Raw genomic sequence first — 21,982 nt, forward strand, 5'->3', positions numbered from 1 at the left:
CCTGATACAAGATCGATGTTTGCCCCTTGATGTGCCCTGTGTAGGCTTGTATGAAGTCCAGAAACCCAACCAAGGGACATCCAGTGTCCTTGGTGCTGGGATCATCCAGTCTTAGGCCCCAGTCTCAGTTCACGTTGGTAAAGTGAGACCCATTCTGCCACGTTTCCCTGAGGCTCTTTGCTTGGGCGCCTGGCACCAAATTAGAAATGAGCAATCAGGTGTGTGTGGTGTGTGTCAGCTTCCGAAACCACGAGGCTGCTAAACATGGGTGTGGAGGTGACACATTTGACTGACATCAGCATCTGTGTTCCATCCACCACCCCATCCACTGCCTCACTCTTGGAGCTTCTAGTGCTGCACAGTTGCCAAGGAAACTAGAAAAAGCTACTGTGCACAAGTCACCTCCTCCCCAGAGCTCATGGGAACACCCTCTTGGGGGGAGGGTGTGAAGAAGGAAGGAGCTGCTCTTCAGGTGGTTGTTCATGAGTGTGGATGACAATGCTGACTGACACCAGCCCCAAGTAGGTAGCTCCAGGCCGACTACCCTTCCAGAACCCTCCCCAAGGCTGGCTTTGTCTCCGTGTTGCCTGAGTCCCACACACCACCCTCTCTCATCTCACATTGCCATCAGTACCTACTCAGAAGAGATCTTTTCATTTTCAGGAAGTGAAAATTCCTTTACATCAAAAAGAATAGGGACTTCTGGTTTCATAGGTGAGGTCTCAAATACAGCTACTGTTTAGCTTGGCAGAGCTAACAGAAACATACAGTTTTAAAAACTACTGGCTAGGCGTGGAGGCTCATGCCTGTAATCCCAGCATTTAGGGAGGCTAAGGCAGGTGGATCACTTGAGGCCAGGAGTTCAAGACCAGCCTGGTCAATATGCTAAAACCCATCTCTACTAAAACAAAACAAAACAAAAATTAGCCGGGCATGGTGGTGCATGCCTATAATCCAGCTACTCAAGTGGCTAAGGCATGAGAATTGCTTGAACCCAGGAGGTGGAGGTTGCAGTGAACTGAAGTTGCACCACTGCACTCCAGCCTAAGCAACAGAGTGAGACTACCACTCTGAAAAAAAAAAAAAAAGAAAAAGAAAAAAGTAATTACTAGTTCCGTTTTGATCCCTCATTAAATTGAAGGAGAGAGGCCTGGATTTTTAGTGTTTACCATTCCTGGATGGAGCTTTGCAGATCTGGTTCACGAGGAGCCATCTTTGGTTGTTGTTGGAATGACTTGCAGGGCTGGTCCTTAGTGCCCAGTGTGGACTGAGAGTCCGCTGTGTGGACAGCACTGGAGCTGGGCAGTGAGAGAGACACCTTAGGGAACCTGAAGTCTCCCAGGGAACACAGAGCAGTGACACAGACTCAGGACGGCAGAGGCCGGGGCTGGAAGTGTGGTAAACAAAATGCTTTTGGCTGCATCCAGAGGAGGAAACGACCATCTTAGCTTGGATAACTGGCCAGGAATAGTGGCATCTGAAAGGAACCTAAAATACGTCACTCATTTACTCAAGTAAAACGGTTTGAGTTTCTCTCACTTACCAGACACTGTTCTAGGCATTAGATGGAAGAGCAGCAATCCCTGCCCTCATGGAGCTTGCATTCGTATGCAATAATCACCACTTACTGACAGATGTGCAGAGGCTGTGCTAAGTGCCTGACATACCTTATTCACTGAAATCTCAAATGTACTATGAGGTGAATATTATTATTATATCTGTTTGACAGAGGAGGAAACTGAGGCTAACAGAGGTTAAATAACTCACAGAAGAGCCGTGTCCTATGAGCCTTATGATGACTTTAGGAGGTCTTAGGAAATGCATCTGTCAGCCAGGCATGATGGATGTGAATGGGCGGAGTCCGGACTGTGAGGAGCCATTGTGACATTCCTGCTCTGAGAGAATGGGTCTGGACTAGACTCTCAGCAGGGGATATGAACTTCGCAAAATAGGGAGGTGAGGTCACCTGCTAAGGTGGTAGTTGCCCTTGCATAAGTGTTTTAGGGGACAGCAGGGATTCTGAGGAGTATGGACAAGGCCTGAAGAAGCTTCTGTGGCTGTTTTCTAACCCACTCTTTAAAGGATCGTAGTGACTGTCTTTATCTCCAGGAAGACATTTATCAGCACTAACTATGGGTGTGGAATATGAGAAAAATCCTAGAAAGCAAGATTTCCTTGAAGTGTAGGGAAGAATTAACTATATTTTCTTATAGCTTACATTTCTCTGTCCATACAAAGAAATAAGGTGTGTGTACACACACACACACACACATGCACACACATATCACATTCAAAAGCAAATTCAACTTAGGCATCTAATAAATGCATGAATCGTGTATCTTTTTGGCTTTCAGGTCTCACATCATTTTTATTGTGTTATTTAATAAGATCACTTTGATTATGATCATTAATCCATAAAAATAGTTTTCATATATATGTTGTATTTAAATAAATTTAAATATACCAAGGTCCTTGCTTTTTTTTCCTTTTCTAATCAAGTCCAAGATATCAGAATTACTCTTCAGAAAAATGTCAACTGAAACACAATTCTCAACTTCACTAATTATTCACGAACTCAGATTTAAGATAGACTTTCTTCTTTCTTTTTTTTTTTAGACTAGATTCTCATCTAGGGGTCATGAAGGGGGAAAAAAATCAATGAGTAGCTATCACTTACTCTCAGAAGAGGGGTTCCTCTGCCTTCCCTGATTGGAGCTGTGAATAATTCAACACCATCCCAGGCTCCCTTTTCCTTTCTTGAGGTTGAGCTTATTAAAATTACATGGCCAAAGGACACTGCTGAGGAGATGGCTGGTGCCCTCCATATCGGCTGTCAGGATCTCCAGTGCAGCCTCATAACAGCTTAAGCCCTTGCTCTGGGAGCACTGAGCTGCCACCAGCTAGGGGTGACCAATGGGTGAATGAAGATAGCAGTGGAGGAGCAGCCAGCTGTCTCCCCGGCTTGTATCATTTTCCTCCATTCGCTCGGCATCCATCCTGGTGGGGTGTGGAAATGGAATGCTGTCTCCATGCTTACTATTGATCAACTTCGTCATCATTGTTGGCCTCATCATTAAGTATTTATAGTTCACTGAGTGAAAGGTAAGTGCTGAACAGACGGGGCACCCCTTTTAGAAGCTTTCCAAGACTATAATTCATCTCCTTCAGTGAGATGGAGTCTCCAGAGACAGAATTTGAACAGTCCATGGATTAGAGTCAGTACTATCTTTTTTTTTTTTTTTTTTTTTTGGTTGTGGGGGTGGAATTTGATTACATGACTAGGGATTTTTTTTGCAAAATGATGTGTGTGTGTGGTGTGTGTGTGTGTGTGTGTGTGTGTGTGTGAAACTTTTTTTTCATGGGTCAGTGTATGAAGTTTCTAGGACCAGGTAGGATTCAATTGGAGGCTGAATATGATGGAACCAAATCAGACTTAAAATTCCATGGACTCAGGTCAAGATTTTTTAAGAGTTGTCAGGGAGACGGAAACCTAACAGTAAATCCAGCTAATCTTGAAAAGAGGGAGGAAATTTGGGTCAGGCATTGTCACCGAATGCTACTCTGGCAGCATGCATTTGCCCATCCTCTGAATCCTGTAAGTCTCTGGTTTCAATCCTTCCCTGTAACCACCTACCCCATCCCCAGTTCCATGGAGCAGGGGAAACATCCTTTTCTTCCTCATTACATTAATGGTTTCCCTTCCTATTATTTTCTCTTGCGTTTTCCATCGGCTTATTTTATTTCTCCTGATCATTAAGATGAAACATAATTATTATAGAAAAAAATCAACAGAATAGTATAAAAGAAAAGCAGAAACAACCACTTGAAATGCTATAATCAATAGGCAAATTACAGGCTGGGCATGATGTTTCATTCCTGTAATCCCAGCACTTTGGGAGGCCGAAGTAGAAGGATCACTTGAGCTCAGGAATTTCAGACCAGCCTGGGCAACATAGTGAGACCCTGTCTCTACGAAAAATTAAAAAAAAAATAGTGGAGAGGATTGTTTGAGCCTAGGTGTTTGAGGCTGCTGTGATCTATAATTCCCCACGGTACACCAGCCTGGGCCACAGAATGAGACCGTTTCAAAACAAACACCAACAACAAAAAGAGACAAACTACTGTTGTGGTGTATATCCTTTGTGTTTTTCTTTGTATTTCTTTTCATGGCATAAATTATACTTTATAATTTTGTATCCCAAATTTTGTTCATAATTCTATGATAAGCATTTTCCCTTGTCATCAAACTCTTCATAAACATAATTTTAATTACTTCATCATATTCTACGATGTAAGTATACATAATTTACTTAACCTTTCTTCTAAAGTTAAATGTTTATGTTGAACTAGTTTTGGGCCATTATAATAATGTTATAATGATAATCCTTGTGCATAAATCTTTGATCATATTTCTGATAATTTGTTTAGGATAAATGCCCAGAATTGGAACTACTGGCTCAAAGATATGAACATTTCTTAGGTTCTTGATATATAATGCCAAATTGCTTTCCAGAAAAACTGAGGCAGTTTATAGCCCTACCAAATTTTACCTACATTGAAAAATCCTTTTCCCCTTAAGATATATGCTGATTTGATTGATAAAAAAAGTTACTCATTTTTGAAATTATAAGAAAGGTTGAATTTAAGAAATGGTTATCAGCCACTTGTACTTCTCCTTTGTAAAGTTCTCTCTTTCTTTTCTTTGTCTCTACTGTCCTGTTACCTTACTTTTGCCATCTCTGAGTAGATCAGTGTCTTCAGTGGGTGTGCCACTTGGCCAAAGACTCCTTACTTCTCTTGTTACCCTCTTCACTTTCCCCCTTATTTAATCTTTTTCCACTCTTTAAAAAATTTATTTTTTAATTTTTGAGACAGAGCCTTGCTCTGTCACTCAGGTTGGAGTGCAGTAGTGCAGTCATGGCTCACTGCAGTCTTGAAGTTCTGAGCTTAAGCAATCCTCCCACCTCAACCTCCCCAGTAGCTAGGACTACAGATGTGCTCTACTGCACCTGGCTAATTTTTATTTTTTATTTTTTGTAGATTACAAGACAGCTCAGAGGTTCTCTCATAGGACAGCAGAGGCTGAACCTTGAAGGCAGGTCACAGGGTCTCTCTGTGTTGCCCAGGCTGGTCTCAAATTCCTGGCCTCAAGTGATCCTCCTCCCTTGGCCTCCCACTTTCCTACTCTTTTAGATTTCTGTTGCAGGGCTAAAGAAATGGACAACCTTTGGATAAGAGCCACCAAGCCCTAAGTGATGTTCAGAAAGGAAAGCCCAGCAGCTACTTAAATGGGTTCAGGAACATTTGGGATTTTTCTCTCTTGAAGTTCTTTTACAGCTTGGGGAACTCCCAAGAGGACTGAGACATTGTCCTGTTTGCCTCTGCATTTCCAGCGCCTAGAACAGAGCTGGTGCATACAGAAGGCAAGCAGCTCAGTGCATATTTATTGAATGAACAAACAAAGCCTTCTCAAAGTTCAGGTTTCTTTGCCATGCTTTGGGGCTCCTGACCTAGAGCTCAAGAGAAGAAAAAAAAAAAACACGACAAGGCTGCCAAGGAAGTTTGAAATTAATCTACATTTTGCAATTTGTACAAAAATGTAATTAGATTCCTTCTCCAGAGGCAATCCATTAATGTAATCAATGATTGCAGTTACTCAGTATGTAACCTGAAAAAAAAATTGCTGATGCCTCAGAAAAATAAACACTTGCTTAGTAAAATAATTCCGCACCCAGTGCCAGCCATTTCCTGTTTTCTTTTTCTATTTGACATGGTATCTCCTCTGCAGCATTCCTATTTAGAGACGGAAGCAAAGCCTGCTCCCTGGGGGCTGGAAGGGCCCTCTCTGCCACTGCATCTGCAAGGTGGAGACTTGCTGCTGCTTGGTGGAAACTGCACAGTGGCATGGCTCCCTCCACTGGCAGTTCTCCCACGGTCAACTAGCTGGGCTTCAGATAACTGACCACATGATCTAGCCTAGGCAGCATTGCTTTTTCTTTCTTTCCTTTTTCCCATCAACTTTTATTTTAAGTTCCGGGGCACATGTGCACGATGTGCAGGTTTGTTACATAGGTAAACATGTGCCGTGGTGGTTTGCCAAACCGATCAACCCCTCACCTAGGTATTAAGCCCAACATCTATTAGCTATTCTTCCTGATGCTGTCCCTCCCCTTGCCACCCCCAACCCTACAGGCCCTGGTGTGTGATGTTCCCCACCCATGTTTCCATGTGTTCTCATCGTTCAGCTCCCACTTATAAGTGAGAACATGCGGTGTTTGGTTTTCTGTTCTTGCAATAGTTTGCTGAGGATAATGGCTTCCAGCTCCATCCATGTCCCTGCAAAGGACATGCTCTCTTTCCATTTTATGGCTGCATAGTATTCCATGGTGTACATGTACCACATTTTCTTTATCCAGTCTATTATTGATGGGCATTTGAGTTGACTCTATGTCTTTGCTATTGTGAATAGTGCTGCAATGAACATATGCATGCATGTATCCTTATAATAGAAGATTTATATTCTTTTGGGTATATATTTAGTAATGTGATTGTTGGGTCAAGTGGTATTTCTGGTTCTAGGTCTTTGAGGAGTCGTCACACTGTCTTTCACAATGGTTGAACTAATTTACATTCCCACCGACAGTGTTAAAGCATTCCTTTTTCTCTGCAACCTTGCCAGCATCTGTTGTTACTTGACTATCTAATAATTACCATTCTGACGGGTGTGAGATGGTATCTCATTGTGGTTTTGATTTGCATTTCTCAAATGATCAGTGATGTTGCAAACTAAATCCAGCAGCACACAAGCACAGCATTGCTTTTTCTATACATTTTAATTCTTAGTTGAAATAGAAGTAAAAATATGAATTAAATGCCAATAAACCCATGTAACCTTAGAGGCTCAGCTTCCTTACTTCCTCTTTCTGTAGCTTTCTTCTCCTGCCAGAAAGCTTTCCCTGGCTCCATGGTGTTCATGGATCTCCAGCCACCCTACTTTTACCAGCAGGCAGGGCTGTGTCCCATTAGGAGCCCTGAGCCCCCTGCTACAAAGCCCTTGGGGATCCAGCAGTCATGCCCCAAACTCAGGAAGCAGGAGATTAGTAATGGAGGCACCACAGCCTGATTGAGAGAAGCTTGAGGAGATGATCTGAGTACAGCTGTGAGCTGCCCTCCCTAAAAGCCAGAGGGGAGTGGATGATGCCACTCCCTTAGGTGGAAAGTTCTCTTGTAACTTGGAACAGATGGAGTGAGAGTGCATTGATTCGAATGTGGTCATCCTGGAGAAGTGTGTTAGTTCTGCGATTGAAACCTCAATCTTCCCTGCTCCTCTCTCCAAGGCAGATTGGGAGTCTCTCCTGTGAACACTGCTGTCAGCACACTATTTAAGTTACAATTATTCACTGCTGTGCTTGTCTATGCTAGGGCAAGGGACATACATTTTTATCTTTTAATCCCAATGTCTGGTATGATATCTATCTGGCACATAGTAGGCATGAAAGACATTTCTTTAATCAAACAAAGAATGTGAGAGTGGTTGTTAGGTGCAGGATTAGCTCAAAGCCTAATGGGGGTGACCCAGGAAATTGCTGAAGGTCGAATTTCTATTGCTCTCAGCTGCGTGAGCACTGTTCTGAGAATAAATTTTCTCCATTTTTCCATATTAACCTTGGAAACCTTTCTCCAAGTGATAGTCCACCGTAAGCTCTTCTTCTATTTTGGGCTACTCCTTCTCAGGGTTCCTATGCATTTCGGCACAGGCACCTGTTAAGAGCTAGACTGGGGGTGTTGTAACTTCCATGTCCCACTGGGGTATGTGTTTTGTGAGGGAAGAGTCTTAGGTCCCTTGTAGCACAGATACCTTCAGGGAGCTGGGTGTTTATATAGAGCCCTGAGCACTTTGACATGGACTTTTGCTGGTCAAAAGAAGGTTGAGAGCCCTATTCATTCCCATGAGTTCCCTATCAAAATGTACTTCTCCCTTTTGCAAAACTGGCAATGCCAAGTTCGACCTCTTTGACTTCATTGTGCATCTGTCCCTATCACATGAAATATTTCCCAGGGCAGAATTGTCAAACAGTGATCCCAGGACCACCAGCATCAGAATTACCTGAGTGGGCTTGCAAAAATGCAGATCCTTATCCTGCCATTTCAGACTACTGATTTAAAGATTATTCCTTTGTGCTAGCCAAAGTTGGATAACTTCTGTCTTCAGGCATGGGGAGTTGGTCCCCCTAGGTGCAGTAGTCCTCTCTGATGCTTCTAAAAAGATGTATGGTCCAGATTGCACTGGGAGAAGGTGACTACTCTCTTTTGCCTGCCTCTTGCTAGTCTACAGTTATATGTAAAGTCTGTGACAGGCATTTGTGGGGATAAAATATCAAGATACTGCCTCTGTTCTCTGTTGTGTAAAACTTAAAGTGTCTATATTCATAAACAAATCACTTCAATAAAGGGCACATTGGGGCAAATCAAATGCCATGAAACATGGGGAGGAGAGATCATTTTGCTGAGGTTAGGATGATCTGGTGAGAGTTTTATGGGATTTCAAATTAGGCCTTGAACAATGGCTGGGACTTCCCAGACAAGAGGGAAACAAAGACTTTCTAGATTGATGTAGCAGCTTGATCAAGTCATGGAAATGAGGAGGCCAGAGGGATGTCTGAGCAGCAGAGAGGAGTTCTGTGTGGCTAGGAGGGAGAATGCAGGAGGCTGTACCATGAGAGGAGAGATGGATGCTGCTTAAAACTCAGGCACACCAGGGCTGTCTTCTGTGTCCAGGGTGGTGAGTCAGCTTTTCCAGCAGGATTAGATGTGATCATTCCCCCTCGTGCAGAACCTGGTCCGAGAATTTCCATGCCCATCACATTTCCTCATTCTGGGTTAATCAAACCCTAATTCCCCTTGCATCTTCTTGTACCCCATGCCCTCAAAATTGTTCTGTGCCATCTGCACTCTCGTCTATGTGGCAGAGCCAAGCCTTGATGAGAGAGCAGAGGACAGGCCAAGAAGAGAAACAGTTGGGTCAGTTCTGTGCCGTCTATGCAGACGTGGGAGGTGAATAATCTGAAACAGTGGGTGATACAAAAGGCATTTATATTTGGCTTTGGAACGCACGACATGATTGCTGGCAGCGGGGGTAGCAGATTTATCTTCCTAATTAGGCAAATATTCAAATGAGTTGGCACTCTCTGAACAAGCCACCAAATCCTAAGGCCATGTAAAAAGAAATCCTAGGATCAATTTTCATTTCAATATGAGTATTATTTATGTTAGTACTAGTTGGAATGTTCTAGAGTATTAGCATTCAAAGCTTCCCATCACATTGGCCTCTATGGCGAATGGGCTTCCGTCGACACATCTTCATTTGTGACTGATTTTCCGTGAAGCTGGGAATGACCTTTACCAAATTTCAGAATCATTAAATGAAGCCTTCTGATTTATTGTGGTAAGGAATATGTTCTTATATTAATAATAGTTTAATGGTTGGTGTAGAAGACTTGCTTGAAGAATCATTTCTGTGCCTGTGTTGCAGTGTACACAGCAGGCTAGAAACAGCCAATCACAATTCTAATTCCTTTTTGAACTTTAGCTTCCAGTAAAGTACAGTCAGATGTAAATTACTGCATATACTCTAAGCCCATGTGTAGACAGAACAGAATTTATAACCGTCAATAAAAACATTCATTTTAAGTTATTAATCTAATCATGGAATTTTATAGCTAGAAGTGACATTTGAGGTCATCTAATCTAACTTTATCATTTTAGTGATGAGGCCCAGAGAAATTTAAGGAACTTGAGGATGAAGTACTAAAGGTATTATGGGCTTTTATCCATGGGCTAGTCAAGGATAAAAAAGTGCATTTGTTGCTAAAACCAAACCAAACCTCAAAATCCTCTGTGGATAATTCCAAACAGTTGATTGTCTATGCATATGTTAGTCCCCATACTTCATGGGGTACATGATGGAGAGGATACTCCTAATCATAGGGCTCATTATTGACCGAGCCCTAAGAAATTGCCAGGGCCTCGGATACAGTGAATAAGATAGGTGTGGCCCTTGCCCTTTGAATCTTACAATCTCCCCTAGACACGCAGTGCTTTCCTGCTGGCTTTCAGGCCTGTCTTGGCCGTCCCAGCTCAGCCTTCCCAGTCCTGGATGTGGGATAATCTTTAAGCCTGTCCACTGTTTAGTTTTCTGATGAGAGCAAACAGAGGAGTGTAACAGGGATTTTCTTCTCTCTGCTGGATCACCAGCAAGAGATGGGGACAAGAGAACCAGACCAGAGCTCCCTAATTCCAGCTTCCAAATGTTCTCTGAGATGCAAACCTAGTCCACACCCCAGCCCCTTACCCCCACAGGTCCCTGTGAATATCTGGAGGTAGAGGGTAGAGGGAGCTCCAGTCTCAGAGAGGGTTTGTATTGAGTGGGAGAGGAAGAGGAAAGTTTCCCCAATATCACTGACTAAGCTGCTCCCAAATTTGAGAAGTTACAGAGATTCGGCGCAGAGAAGCACAGAAAGGGAAAGAAGGGAAAGAGAGGAGAAAGCAGGTGCTTGTGTGCAAGTGGGGTGGGGTTACCAGGACCCCTGGGAAGAATTCCCAACAATCCTGAACATTACTTCTTTCTCCCCTGGCTGCAGATAGATGCAGCCCTTGGGAGGTAAGCAGGGGCACTGGGGCACTTTCTCTTGGCCCTGTGTGCAATGTCACAAGAAGATAACAGAACCAAACCACCTGCCTGCAGCCTCCATCTTCCCTCAAATATTGCAGGCCATTTGAAAAGGATCACCTCTATCTTCACTCCAGGGACAATTGCAGCACATGGGATGAGTGAGGAGTGGGAGAAAATAACCTGTGGTGAGGGAAGCCCTGGAGAGAAGCCGATTAGAAATGCCTTGAGAGTGGGAACAGTCAATGGGAAACTATTAAACAAAGCAGGAAAAAGAGGTGATTATTTATCTGATGCCCTGATGAAGGAAAGATTTTTCGAAGCTTAAGGGAAATTACAAAGGAAAAGATTGATAGGTTTGTTCACATTCAAATTAAAAACTGTGCAGGCCAAAAAGTAATGAAAAATTAAAAGGCAAGGAAATTGGGAAAATACTTGCAACAAACATGCTAGACAAAATATTAACTTTCCAAATATGGTAAGAGGGCATGCAAATAGATTCAGAGCCCAATAAATAAATGCATAAAGGATGTGAACAGGTTGCAAAGAGAAATGGACATTTCTAACAAACATGAAAAGTATTTGGTTTCACCAAGTAATCTGAGATGCAAATTAATACACTAATAGCATATCTTTTGTTTTGTTTTGTTTTTTTACCTAACAAAATTAGAAAACTCTCAGTCATTGTTGGTGTGTTCATAGGAGATCAAATTGATACAACCTTACTTGAAATCAGTTTGGCAATATTTATCACAAGTCTTAGAATGTTCATACTCTGTGACTAAGTAATCCCATTTAAGGGTCTTTCTCCTAAGGGAACAATGTGAAATATACAGAGAGTTTTAAATTCAAATTGTTCATCACTAAAAATTGGTAATGATCTTAATGCTCAAAAATGGGGTAAGTGTTAAACAAATTATGGTTCAGTTATATAGTAGAGTGTGCTATAACCATTAAATGTGACATTTGCGCAGAATTTTTAGACATAAAGAAATGCTTGCATATTGAATACAAATTGAAAAAAAGAATAATGTAAAATGAGATGTAGATTATGCTTCTAGCTAGAATGTTACAAGATAATATATACACATATACATAGAAAAGGGCTGCAAGGAAATAAACCAAAATGTTGACAGTGATTATCTCTGGGTGGTGGGATTATGAGTGATTTTTCCTTTCAAGATTTTTTTTGTATTTAATCTTATAAACATATGTGATTCATTGAAGTAAAATAATAACAACCACCACCATCACCATCAGATACTTTATTTTGAAAGTAAGGACAGGGCTGGGCGTGGTGTCTCACACCTGTAATCCCAGCACTTTGGGAGGCTGAGGCGGGCAGATCACCTGAGGTCAGGAGCTCGAGAGCAGCCTGGCCAACATGGCGAAACCCCGTCTCTACCAAAATACAAAAATTAGCAGGGCATGCTGGCACATGCCTGTAATCTCAGCTACTCGGGAGGCTGAGGCAGGAGAATCGCTTGAACCTGGGGGAGCTGAGGTTGCAGTGAGCCGAGAATGCACCATTGCACTCCAGCCTGGGTGACAGAGCAAGACTCTGTCTAAAAAAAAAAAAAAAAAAAGGAAATTAAGGACAGGAGGAGGTAAACAGGGCACAGTTTGGGACTGTAAAACCCAGTCCCAAGCACAGACTGGGAAACCGGTTGACTTCAGTGGAGGCTCATGCTCAGGAGCTGCGTTAAGAAATCCTGTTGCTGTCTCTAGGCTCAGAGTCCGGGGAGTAGGACAGGTTGTTGAGAGGAGCTGAGTCTTACCCTGAAGCCCAGGAGTTAGATCCAAGTCCAGGTTGGAAAGGTCTCACTTCTCTATGGAGAAAAAGGGGCAGCTCAGTGGTGGTCAGTGTTATGACAAGTGGGATAGAAGCCCCCAGGGAAAAGAGAGGGAGGAAAGAGACCTTCGGGAGCCTGGAAGATTGTTGTATATCCTCCCTGGGTCTGGCTTAGCGTGCGATAGAGAGCCGTGCTTTTGATATATCTTAACTGTGTGTAACCTACAACCCAGGATTCTCTAAACTTTAGAAAAAATACCTGTGCAGTTGAACTACAGTATCAGGGCTGCAGTGGACCAGACAGGGAAGTAATGCTTCAGAGAAGAAGAGAAAACAGGGAAAGACCAGGAACCCAGAAGACCATCTCTGGGAGAAAAATCACTCTTAGTGATGGAAGCAGTGAGTGAACTGAGGCAGGTTCAGCAGTAACGCGGCTGGGGGCAGCCCCTGTCTGGGTGTGCCACTGTGAGTTTCCTGACCTGGCCACTGTTTATGCGGATCTAGGCCTGTGTTCCCACGTAGCTTCCCTGTGACCAACAGCGAGAGTGCTGCTGGGTTCTGTGTGGTTAGGGGTGCAGTCTGTAGTCAAGGAACAGAATGAAATTAATTAGCCCCCTTGGGATAGCTGCAGCCTATATCTTTGGACTCGTTAGCAAAGGGCTCTAACTAGGTGAGATAACCAGCTTCACGAGTAGGTTAGCTCTTGGCTGTCAGGATTTCTATTCTCTGCCCAATAGAGCAGAGGCTGAAAAATATTTCACAATAATCATCACAATGGAGGGACTCTGCAGGAGCCGGTAGGAGCTAGGTTTTTTTTGTTGTTGTTGTTGTTAGCTGACCCAACTATCCTGACATCATTGCTGGGCCTGAATGCAAAGCAGATAAAGTCCCCTCTGTGCATGTGCATGTGTGGGGACGTGTCACATGCATGCGTGCATATACATTTTGCTGTAATGTGTTCTTCACATCTGGGGATATCTTAGGTGGGTTCATCCAGAAGCAGACCTTGAAATGGAGCTTTGTATGCAGAGGTTACTGGGGAGTGCCATGGGAGAGAGGGAGGGAGGGAGGAAGGCAGGGGAGCGGGACTGGTCAGAGGGAGCCACTGAGCGGCAATGGAGTTGCAGCAAACGTCTCAGTCATTTGGACCTGGGATAGCCCTTCAGAGTGTCCTGTTGTTTTATGAAGTTGGTCACTTCGTACCCTCCACTGACCCAATTGACCTGTCATTGGGTGCCAGCCATCGCTTGGAAAGGGTCATACCTTAGGTGAAACCTTACCTTTGGCCAGGATTGATTCCCCGGGTGGAACTCAGCCTCGAGTCTCAGCAGGGGGATGACTAGAAGATCCCATGCCTCCGCTCTGAAGTGGGATCTTGGTGGCATCCCACGGCACCCACCACAGGGGGTGATGAGAGTCTTAGAATCCCTGCATTCTGAAAACTGTTCCCATCCTGGGCTCATCCATGGTGGTTTCCAACAGGACAGCCTTCCTGATGGTCCTGGTCACTGTTATCAGGAGGCTACATGGAGCTTTTCCATAGGACTTGGTGGATCTGCTTCTAGAATACCATCAACCTCATGACCTGTGGCAGTGAACCTGGGCTTTGCCCCCTAGTGTAGGGAGCTGAAGTTGGTCACTTGAGCACTGTCCGGTAGAAACAGAACATAAGCCACAGATTTAACATTTTTCTTGTAGCCACCTAAAAAAATAAAAAGAAACAGATGTCATTAATTTTAATAACATAGTTTAACTTAATATCAAAATTTTATTTCAACATATAATCAACATTGAAAAATATTTTAATTCGATTTAATTATTTTGTACTAGGTCTTTGAAATCACATGTTAATTTTATACTATGGTGCATCTCAATTCAGACTGGCTACATTTCAAGTGTGCAGTAGCCATGTGTGGGTAGTGGCTACTGTATTGGATAGTTCTAGAGTACAACCTCTTTCTGCCATGAATTTACTCCTCCCATTTAAAAAAATGAGGTTTTTAATTGGAGGAGGTGAGATGGCCAATAATTCAAATTAATTACCATTATTATTAAAAAACATGTACAACACACCAGATTGAATTTGTTTTATGTGCAGTACAAAGAAGACTATTCCAGATTGGTATTTCCCTTCTAGAAGTTTCTAAGCTTCTGCTACAGTGTTTACTGATTTGGCTTCTAAATCTGTATTATCAGTCTTCAGCTTAGGCTGCAAAAGTAGAATATTCTTGTCTCTTCCATGGATGATGACACCTTTCACTTTCCCAAAGTAGAAAGTTAATGATTTTCTGTGTTGTAAATGAGGACAAGAATTTCTGTGATTACAAATTTTACTTTTAAGAATATTTCTGGGTAAAACTATTTAATTGATTAGATTGCATTTTAATACCGAAGAGAACAGTATTATAAATGAGTTAGATCTCCTTTGCCTTTGGCAAACACCAGGATGGATTTTCTAGGTATAAACACACAGCTGTGTGCACTGTTTTGCTATTATTTATATGAAGCCAATTGCTTTCTCATCCTCTACTGCTCTGAGTTTGTGTGTGTTCCTTTTGCTTTTCCATGTCTCTGTTTCTTTCCTCCTCCTTGTGATTTGGTATCTGCTAGCTTTTGTTAAGTTTTCTGAAAGGTGGGTGCTGGGAAGGTTGCACTTCTGGACTTCCTGCCTTGTGACTCCACCTGGTGGGAAGCCCCCATGAGTGGAGGTTCCATGAATTGAGAACATTGTCATGTCCTCTGGGATCCCTTTTTTTTTTTTTTTAAATTTATTTCATAGCTTTTGGGGTACAAGCGTTTTTTTTTGTTCTGTTACATGGATGAATTCTGTAGTGGTGAACTCTGGGATTTTAGTGCACCCGTCACCCGAGTAGTGTACATTGTACCTAATGTGTAGTTTTTTTTTTTAATCCCTAGCCCCCTCCCATCCTCCCCCTTCTGAGTCTCTGAAGTCCATTATATCACTCTGTATGCCTTTTTTTGGTTGAAGAAGTTTCCTGCTTTCCTGGTTCATCTCATCCTAGGCACCAACATTACAGATTATTTAGAATTTATCAGGTTCTGGCCTGGCGCGGTGGCTCACGCCTGTAATCCCAGCACTTTGGGAGGCTGAGGTGGGCGGATCACCTGAGGTCAGGAGCTCAAGACCAGCCTGGCCAACATGGTGAAAACCCGTCTCTACTAAAAATACAAAAATTAGCTGGGCGTGGTGGCAGGCCTATAATCCCAGCTACTCGGGAGGCTGAGGCAGGAGAATCACTTGAACCCAGGAGGCAGAGTTTGCAGTGATCTGAGATCCCGCTGTTGCACTCCAGCCTGGGGAACAAGAGCGGGACTTCGTCTCAAAAAAAAAAAAAAAAAAAAAAAGAATTTATCTGGTTCCTCAGCTACCAAGGCTCCAGCAAGATTTGAGGGCACGTGGTGGCGTTGGTTTCTGTCAGACCTCTTTAAAGGAGCTTCGCTTTGCTTCCTTCAGAATAGGCCTGGCTAGTTGAAACACATGAACTACATACCTAATTTTAGATTTTCCAGTAGCCACATTAGAAAAAGTAAAAAGGAATGGGTTGACTTAAATTTAATAGTGTATTTTACTTGGCCCTATATATCCAAAATATTATTCTTGTTTCAATGAATAATCAATGTAAAATTTATCGAGAGATCTTTTTTTTTGCACTAAGTTTTCAAAATCTGGTGTACTTAAAACACATCTGAATTTGGGTGCTACATTTTCATCAGAAATACTTGATCTATAGTTTTATAGAGTCCATAAAACTGACAATTGAAAATGTGAATGCACATATCCAAGTTATTCCAGACATATTTAAAAGCTTTTTAATAACTGAATTGAGTCCCAAAAAATCAGCTCTAATATTCATGCTCCTATTAATAGAACTGGTTTATCTTTTTGAAATAAGATTAACTTTGAAGCAGATTGACTTTGAAGCAGAGTGAAAAGTAGTCCTACCAAACAAAGTTGTGTTTAGTGGCAACAGGCTTTATATTGCCTTCATTTTAAAATTTAAGTGGAAGTTTGATTAAAATTACATCAAAGTCGAAATTTACTTTCTCAATCCCAGTAGCCACATTTCAGCTAATCAATAGCCACATGCCCGGCTATTTTAGAATCTTTTAAAGTACTGTTGAATTGAAACAAACAATATAAACAGAGCAGAACTGCATAGTGATTTCCTCATGGTATTCGCTCTGTGGCTATTTTCACACTTTGTGTGAGTGTGTGTGTGTGTGTGTGTGTGTGTGTGTGTTTCTCCATTACCTACCTTCCCGATTCTTTTCCTTTTTTTTTTTTTTTTTTGAGACGGAATCTCACTCTGTTGCCCAGGGTGGAGTGCAGTGGCATGATCCTGGCTCACTGCAGCCTCTGCCTCCCAGGTTCAAGTGATTCTCCTGCCTCAGCTCCCGGGCAGCTGGGATTACAGGTGCTTGTCACCATGCCAGGCTAATTTTTGTATATTTTCAGTAGAGACAGAGTTTCACCACATTGGCCAGGCTGGTCTCAAACTCCTAACCGCAAGTGATTTGCTCACCTCTGCCTCCCAGAGTGCGGGGGTTACAGGCATGAGCCACCGTGCCAGGCCCCGATTCTTTATCTGAGATTCCAGCTGCTGTCTCTCTGCCTTTGAGTTGCATTCACTCCTGTCTCCTGTCTTTATGTCATTGTTTTCCACTTTTCCCTCCATCTACCTTTTTTTCTTCCTCTTTCTCCTCCTTTTGCATCTGATTTTCTTCTTGAACTAGGCACAAAGTCTATTTTTTAAATGTTCTTTTGTGTGTTGGCTAGCTTTAAATCCCCAGGAATAAAATAAGAGAGACAGTTTAGATTTTTCATTCACGTTAAATAAAGTAAAACTTAAACAAACCCCAAACAACCAAAGTCATGTGACCCTGGCTTGATTGCCTTTTTTTCGGGTCATTGACTAATGAAGGGGAGAATTGTCTCTTTCTCGGAGTCCATGCGAGGTCAGCCTGGGACTCTGTGTGTGGTTTTGCAGAGAGGGCCTCTGGGATGGTCACTTGTGGATTTTTGTTCTTTTGTTTTTGACTCCAACCGTTAACTTCTGCTTGGAGATTAAAAATGACACTGAAGTCTCTCAGCACTTCTGTCTTTGTAAGGGGTGGAGCGCGGTCAGCTCTGCTCTATGGGGTTATGGCAGCCATCAGAAGTAGGAAGAAGCCTCTTAACCAAGGATGTGAGATGCTGATGAAGCTGAGGGAAACGTCAGCAGGGGCTGGTGGTGTCCTCAAACGGAGACTGGAGGAAGGGGAGCAGAGGGGAGTGAGGCAGGAACCTCAGGTTAATTTGGGCCAGTAGAAGTGTGACCGTTACCAGGTCACTCTCCTCGCTGGGCCTCGGCTTCCTTCCTCCTTCTCAAATCCAGCTGCACTCTTTGTGGTTCCCCTACTGTACTGGCCCATGGGCCCAGATCTATTTTGCAGAACATTCTCGTTCTCATTGCCAGCCATGCAGCCAGTGACAGGGCTGAGAAGAGGTGAAGCCAAACATTTGTATTATTAAAAGTTATGAGGGGAAGGAAAGTAATAGTGGCGAGTGTATTTTCATGTTCCATTTCACTCCTGGAATAATTCAAGTCCGTGTGGACCATTTTTGCTTGACCTGTCAAGACCCAAACATGTATCCACCACTGAATACCCCTGTGTACCTGTGTCCTCCACAATGCCTGCCCTCATGACGGTCCAGTATTCATAGCCTTCCACTAGAGCTGGTAGAAGAGGCAAAACCGGGGCTGCGGACATTTTGGGGGAGCGTTTTGTGCAGTTCAGTCTTATTCAGTTTACCAAATGTTTCTCACGATTTTTTCAAACCTATATTTTTAGGCTGTTATTTTGCACCAGGTCCTGAGATAAGCATTGCATAAAGCTCAGCTCATTTACTTATGTGCCAGGGTAGACAGGTCCTTTAAAAAAATCCATACAGTTCCTTTCATCCAGAGCTTGGAAGTATGTCTATGTAACATAACTGACGGTGTAAAACGTAACTCACGAAACAGGTAACTGTGCAAAGCAGTGTTGTATTAAGTACCCAAATGATACTATGGCAAATAAATGCATCAGACATTCAGAGAAGGGAGAGATGACTTAGGACTAAAATTGAGCCTTGAAGGTAGCTATGACTGGGATAACTGGAGAGAAAGGAAGATGACATTTTGAGTTGGAATAAAAGGGGCTAAAATTTTGGTTATGGTGGGCTAGAAAGGCTATAGGACACAAAAGATACACATGTGAGTAATTGTTGAATGAACAAACGGATGGCTCCAGGCTTTTAAGCCTAGGCGGCAGAACCTAGTGAGGCTGTGAGAAGGAGTAATGAGAATGGTGACAATGATTTCAGTTTGAAGCACGTAGAGTCTGTGATGATGACAGGTCCGGCTGGAGATGCTTGTGGGCACCTGAATTAGAGTGTCAGTGAAAAATTGAGTGAGAATACAGATTCGAGAGTCATGGAATAGAGGTGATAGTGAAGTCATAAAATAGGATGTGTTTCCAGGATGAAAGAGGAAGGTGTGAAGTGCACATAGGTTGCCCTCGGGGGGAAGAAGAACTCAGCAAAGGGCACAAAGAAGGATGCACAGGGCCAGGCTTGGTGGCTCATGCCTGTAATCCTAACATTTTGGGAGGCTGAGGTGGGCAGATTGCCTGAGCTCAGGAGTTCGAAACCAGCCTGGGCAACATGGAGAAACCCCATCTCTACTAAAAATACAAAATTTAGCAGGCATGGTGGCGTGTGCCTGTAATCCCAGCTACTCGGGAGGGTGAGGCAGGAGAATTGCTTGAACCTGGGAGGCAAGAGAATTGCTTGAACCTGGGAGGCGGAGGTTGCAGTGAGCCGAGATCGCACCACTGGACTCCGAACTCCAGCCTGGGTGACAGAGCAAGACTCCATCACCAAAAAAAAAAAAAAAAAAAAAAAAAAAAAAAAAAAAAAAAGAAGGATGCACAGGGGAGGTAGGAGGAGAGCCAAGAAACATCATGTTAAGGGGCCCAGGAGTGAGAAGGTTTCGCAGTGTGGGCTGCCTCCTGGGAAAGGGAGGGAAAACAGGACTGTGGAAAGGCCAGAAGCAGAACCCAGGCTGCTTCTGGAGTGGAACTGGGGAAGGACATTTGTGGATGGAGGTTTGTTCATTTTACACTTGCAGATAATTTTGCCCAGAGGCCTGAATGTTAAACTCTTGCTATAGAGGTTAAGACTTCTTTTGAGAACATTTTGCAAAATAAAGAAACGGCAAAAAGTCTCCGATAGTCTGTTGAGTTTACAGCAAGAAGAGAAATCACCGAGGTCTTAGAACTGTTTTCCTTCTCTTCTGAGAATCCTCTCCTGCAAACTCTCTCATTTCTGCAAATAGTGCTCATACGCTTTCACTTGTCCTTAAGCTCAAATGCAGCCACATCGTATACATAAGCCAGCTCCCCTGATGGAACTCCACAGGAATTGGGAATGCCTATAGATTTTTCAGCGGAAATAGAGGCAAGAGAATTGGCATGCTGTGAGTCGATCTTCATCCAAACCTTTTCCAAATCCATATTCTTTTCGTTGTGTAAGTTTGTCCAGTGAATTTCATTATGGTCCGTGATAGAAATGTTATTGTGTGGAGACAGATGTAAATCCACTTCTGTTATATAAACAAGTACTTTTGGACCTCACTCTGGAACCACCGTCAGACTGGAAAAGGGTTTGGAAGTAGGGATGGGAGTAGTAGAGTTTGGGAAATGATGCGATTTTTTTTTTTCCTGAATTCCAACCAAACCTGTAAATTTTTAAGATTTCTACAAACTTAGGAAAAGCCTGTTTAGCTTAGGCCTATCACAACTTTTTATTTTTGTTCAAATTTGTTTCTGAGGGGATGAGTCTGAATAAGAATCAGGTTGCTTCCAGATCCCAGACAGCTACTGAGGACCAGCAGCAAATGTGTCCATTTTTTGTTGATAGTTCATCTCTATGGAGCCATGCTTATTTTAGTTCACATAAAAATGTATTACCAAATATCTATTACTTCTTGAGTAAAATGAAATTGAAAAATACTTACAGAGTAATGACCCATTTCCCCATGTGGATGCAAGTGGCAAATCTTTTCATTCATGATTTCAGCATGTATTTATCAGGTTCAGTACGATGTTTCTGAGACTACGAAAGGGTATTTGGAGTAACGTCCATCCTCTAGGGGGTTGTAACATAGGTAGAGAGACAAGAAGATCTTCAATAAAATGATTTAAAAGTAATTTGGCTAAATATGTAAGACACTTTGTAGCCTATATGCTAAGAATTCAAAATAAGTATTTTTTTAAGGGGTAGAGAAACCAGAGATGGCTTCCTGGAGGAGGCGGATCAAGAACTGGATCATGTAGAGTTAAAACTGGAAAAAATTTGTGGAGGCTGGAAAAGAGTGTGTGCAGGTAAGCAAAGGCGTAGAGGTGGGAACAAGAGACATGGTGTAGGTGAAGAATTTGTGTTGTAGAGAAACGAAGGATGAGATTTGGTAAAGGGGCCGGGGTCAGAGTACAGAAGGGCCTGAGTGCCAGACTCGTAAATGCTGTGCACACCTTAGGGGCTACGGGGCTGCTGTAGGATCTGAATAAGGGAGCATGTCCAGCCACCCCCAGCACTCTTTTCCCCATTACCAAGCATTCCTTCTTTAAAGAGCTTATTGCTCTCTAAAATAAACGTCTGGTTATCTGTTTGCTTCTTTGTAGATCATCTCTGCAGCTAGAATGTGAGCACCATGGGGTCAGGGAACATGTGTCTCTGATTCGCGATAGGACTTTTCCCAGTATCTAGAACAATCCTGACAGAATTATATATGTATGTGTGTACATATGTATAAATCTTTCGCTCTCTCTTTCTATGTATATATAGAGAGAGAACTTTGTGGAAATAGATATTTATCTTTATACATAGATATCTCTCTATATATAGGTTTCTCTCTACACACACACACACACACACACACAATTCAAATCAAGATATATGGCTATGTAGATATAGATATTTATATATACACAGATATAGATGTAGATAATTCTTTATATACATGGATATATCTCTCTGTAGGTCTCTCTGTCTCTCTATCTATATAAGCTTCCTGGAAAATAATGCACACTTAGAATTTTTTGCCTACGGTTTTAGACTGGTTACCTCCCTATCACAGTAGTCCATCCCCAGACCCATGAGGGACCCTGAAATGGGCTTAAGATCACAGGTTCTGCTCGAGATGTTTGAATTCAGCTGCCTCCAAGCGACATCCATAGCTTCTCCCTCTGTCACGTGGGAAAGGGATTTTCTTTGGGCTTTCATTCTTTTTGGCAGTAGGGAAAGGGAAAGAGGATGGAGCCATGCTTTGTCTTTGTATTTCTAGTGGAGGATGCAGAGGAAGAAGAATGGGAGAGAACTTCTAGCAGATTCTCTAAAAGGTGGGAGCTGTAATACCAGGGCATATCAGAGGTGTGATTGTCAGGTAATGTAGGATGCCAAGTTACATTTGCATTGCAGG

The 21,982-nt window shown here is 42.7% G+C and overlaps 1 protein-coding gene across 4 annotated transcripts in view, besides 1 other annotated feature; it reads left to right on the top strand.

The window, feature by feature from the left end:
• The window catches only part of TMEM178B (transmembrane protein 178B), a 437,233-nt gene that overhangs the window by 151,723 nt on the left and 263,528 nt on the right, over positions 1-21,982 (top strand). The gene's annotated exons all lie outside the window — the stretch shown is intronic.
• Positions 432-501: an enhancer, noted in NCBI's record as "active region_26788". NCBI's record gives its function as "activates an Ori minimal core promoter by ATAC-STARR-seq in GM12878 lymphoblastoid cells {active_cell/tissue: GM12878}" and the evidence as "EXISTENCE:reporter gene assay evidence [ECO:0000049][PMID:35858748]".

Source organism: Homo sapiens, chromosome 7 (assembly GCF_000001405.40).
Source record: "Homo sapiens chromosome 7, GRCh38.p14 Primary Assembly".
Taxonomy (NCBI): Eukaryota; Metazoa; Chordata; class Mammalia; order Primates; family Hominidae; genus Homo; species Homo sapiens.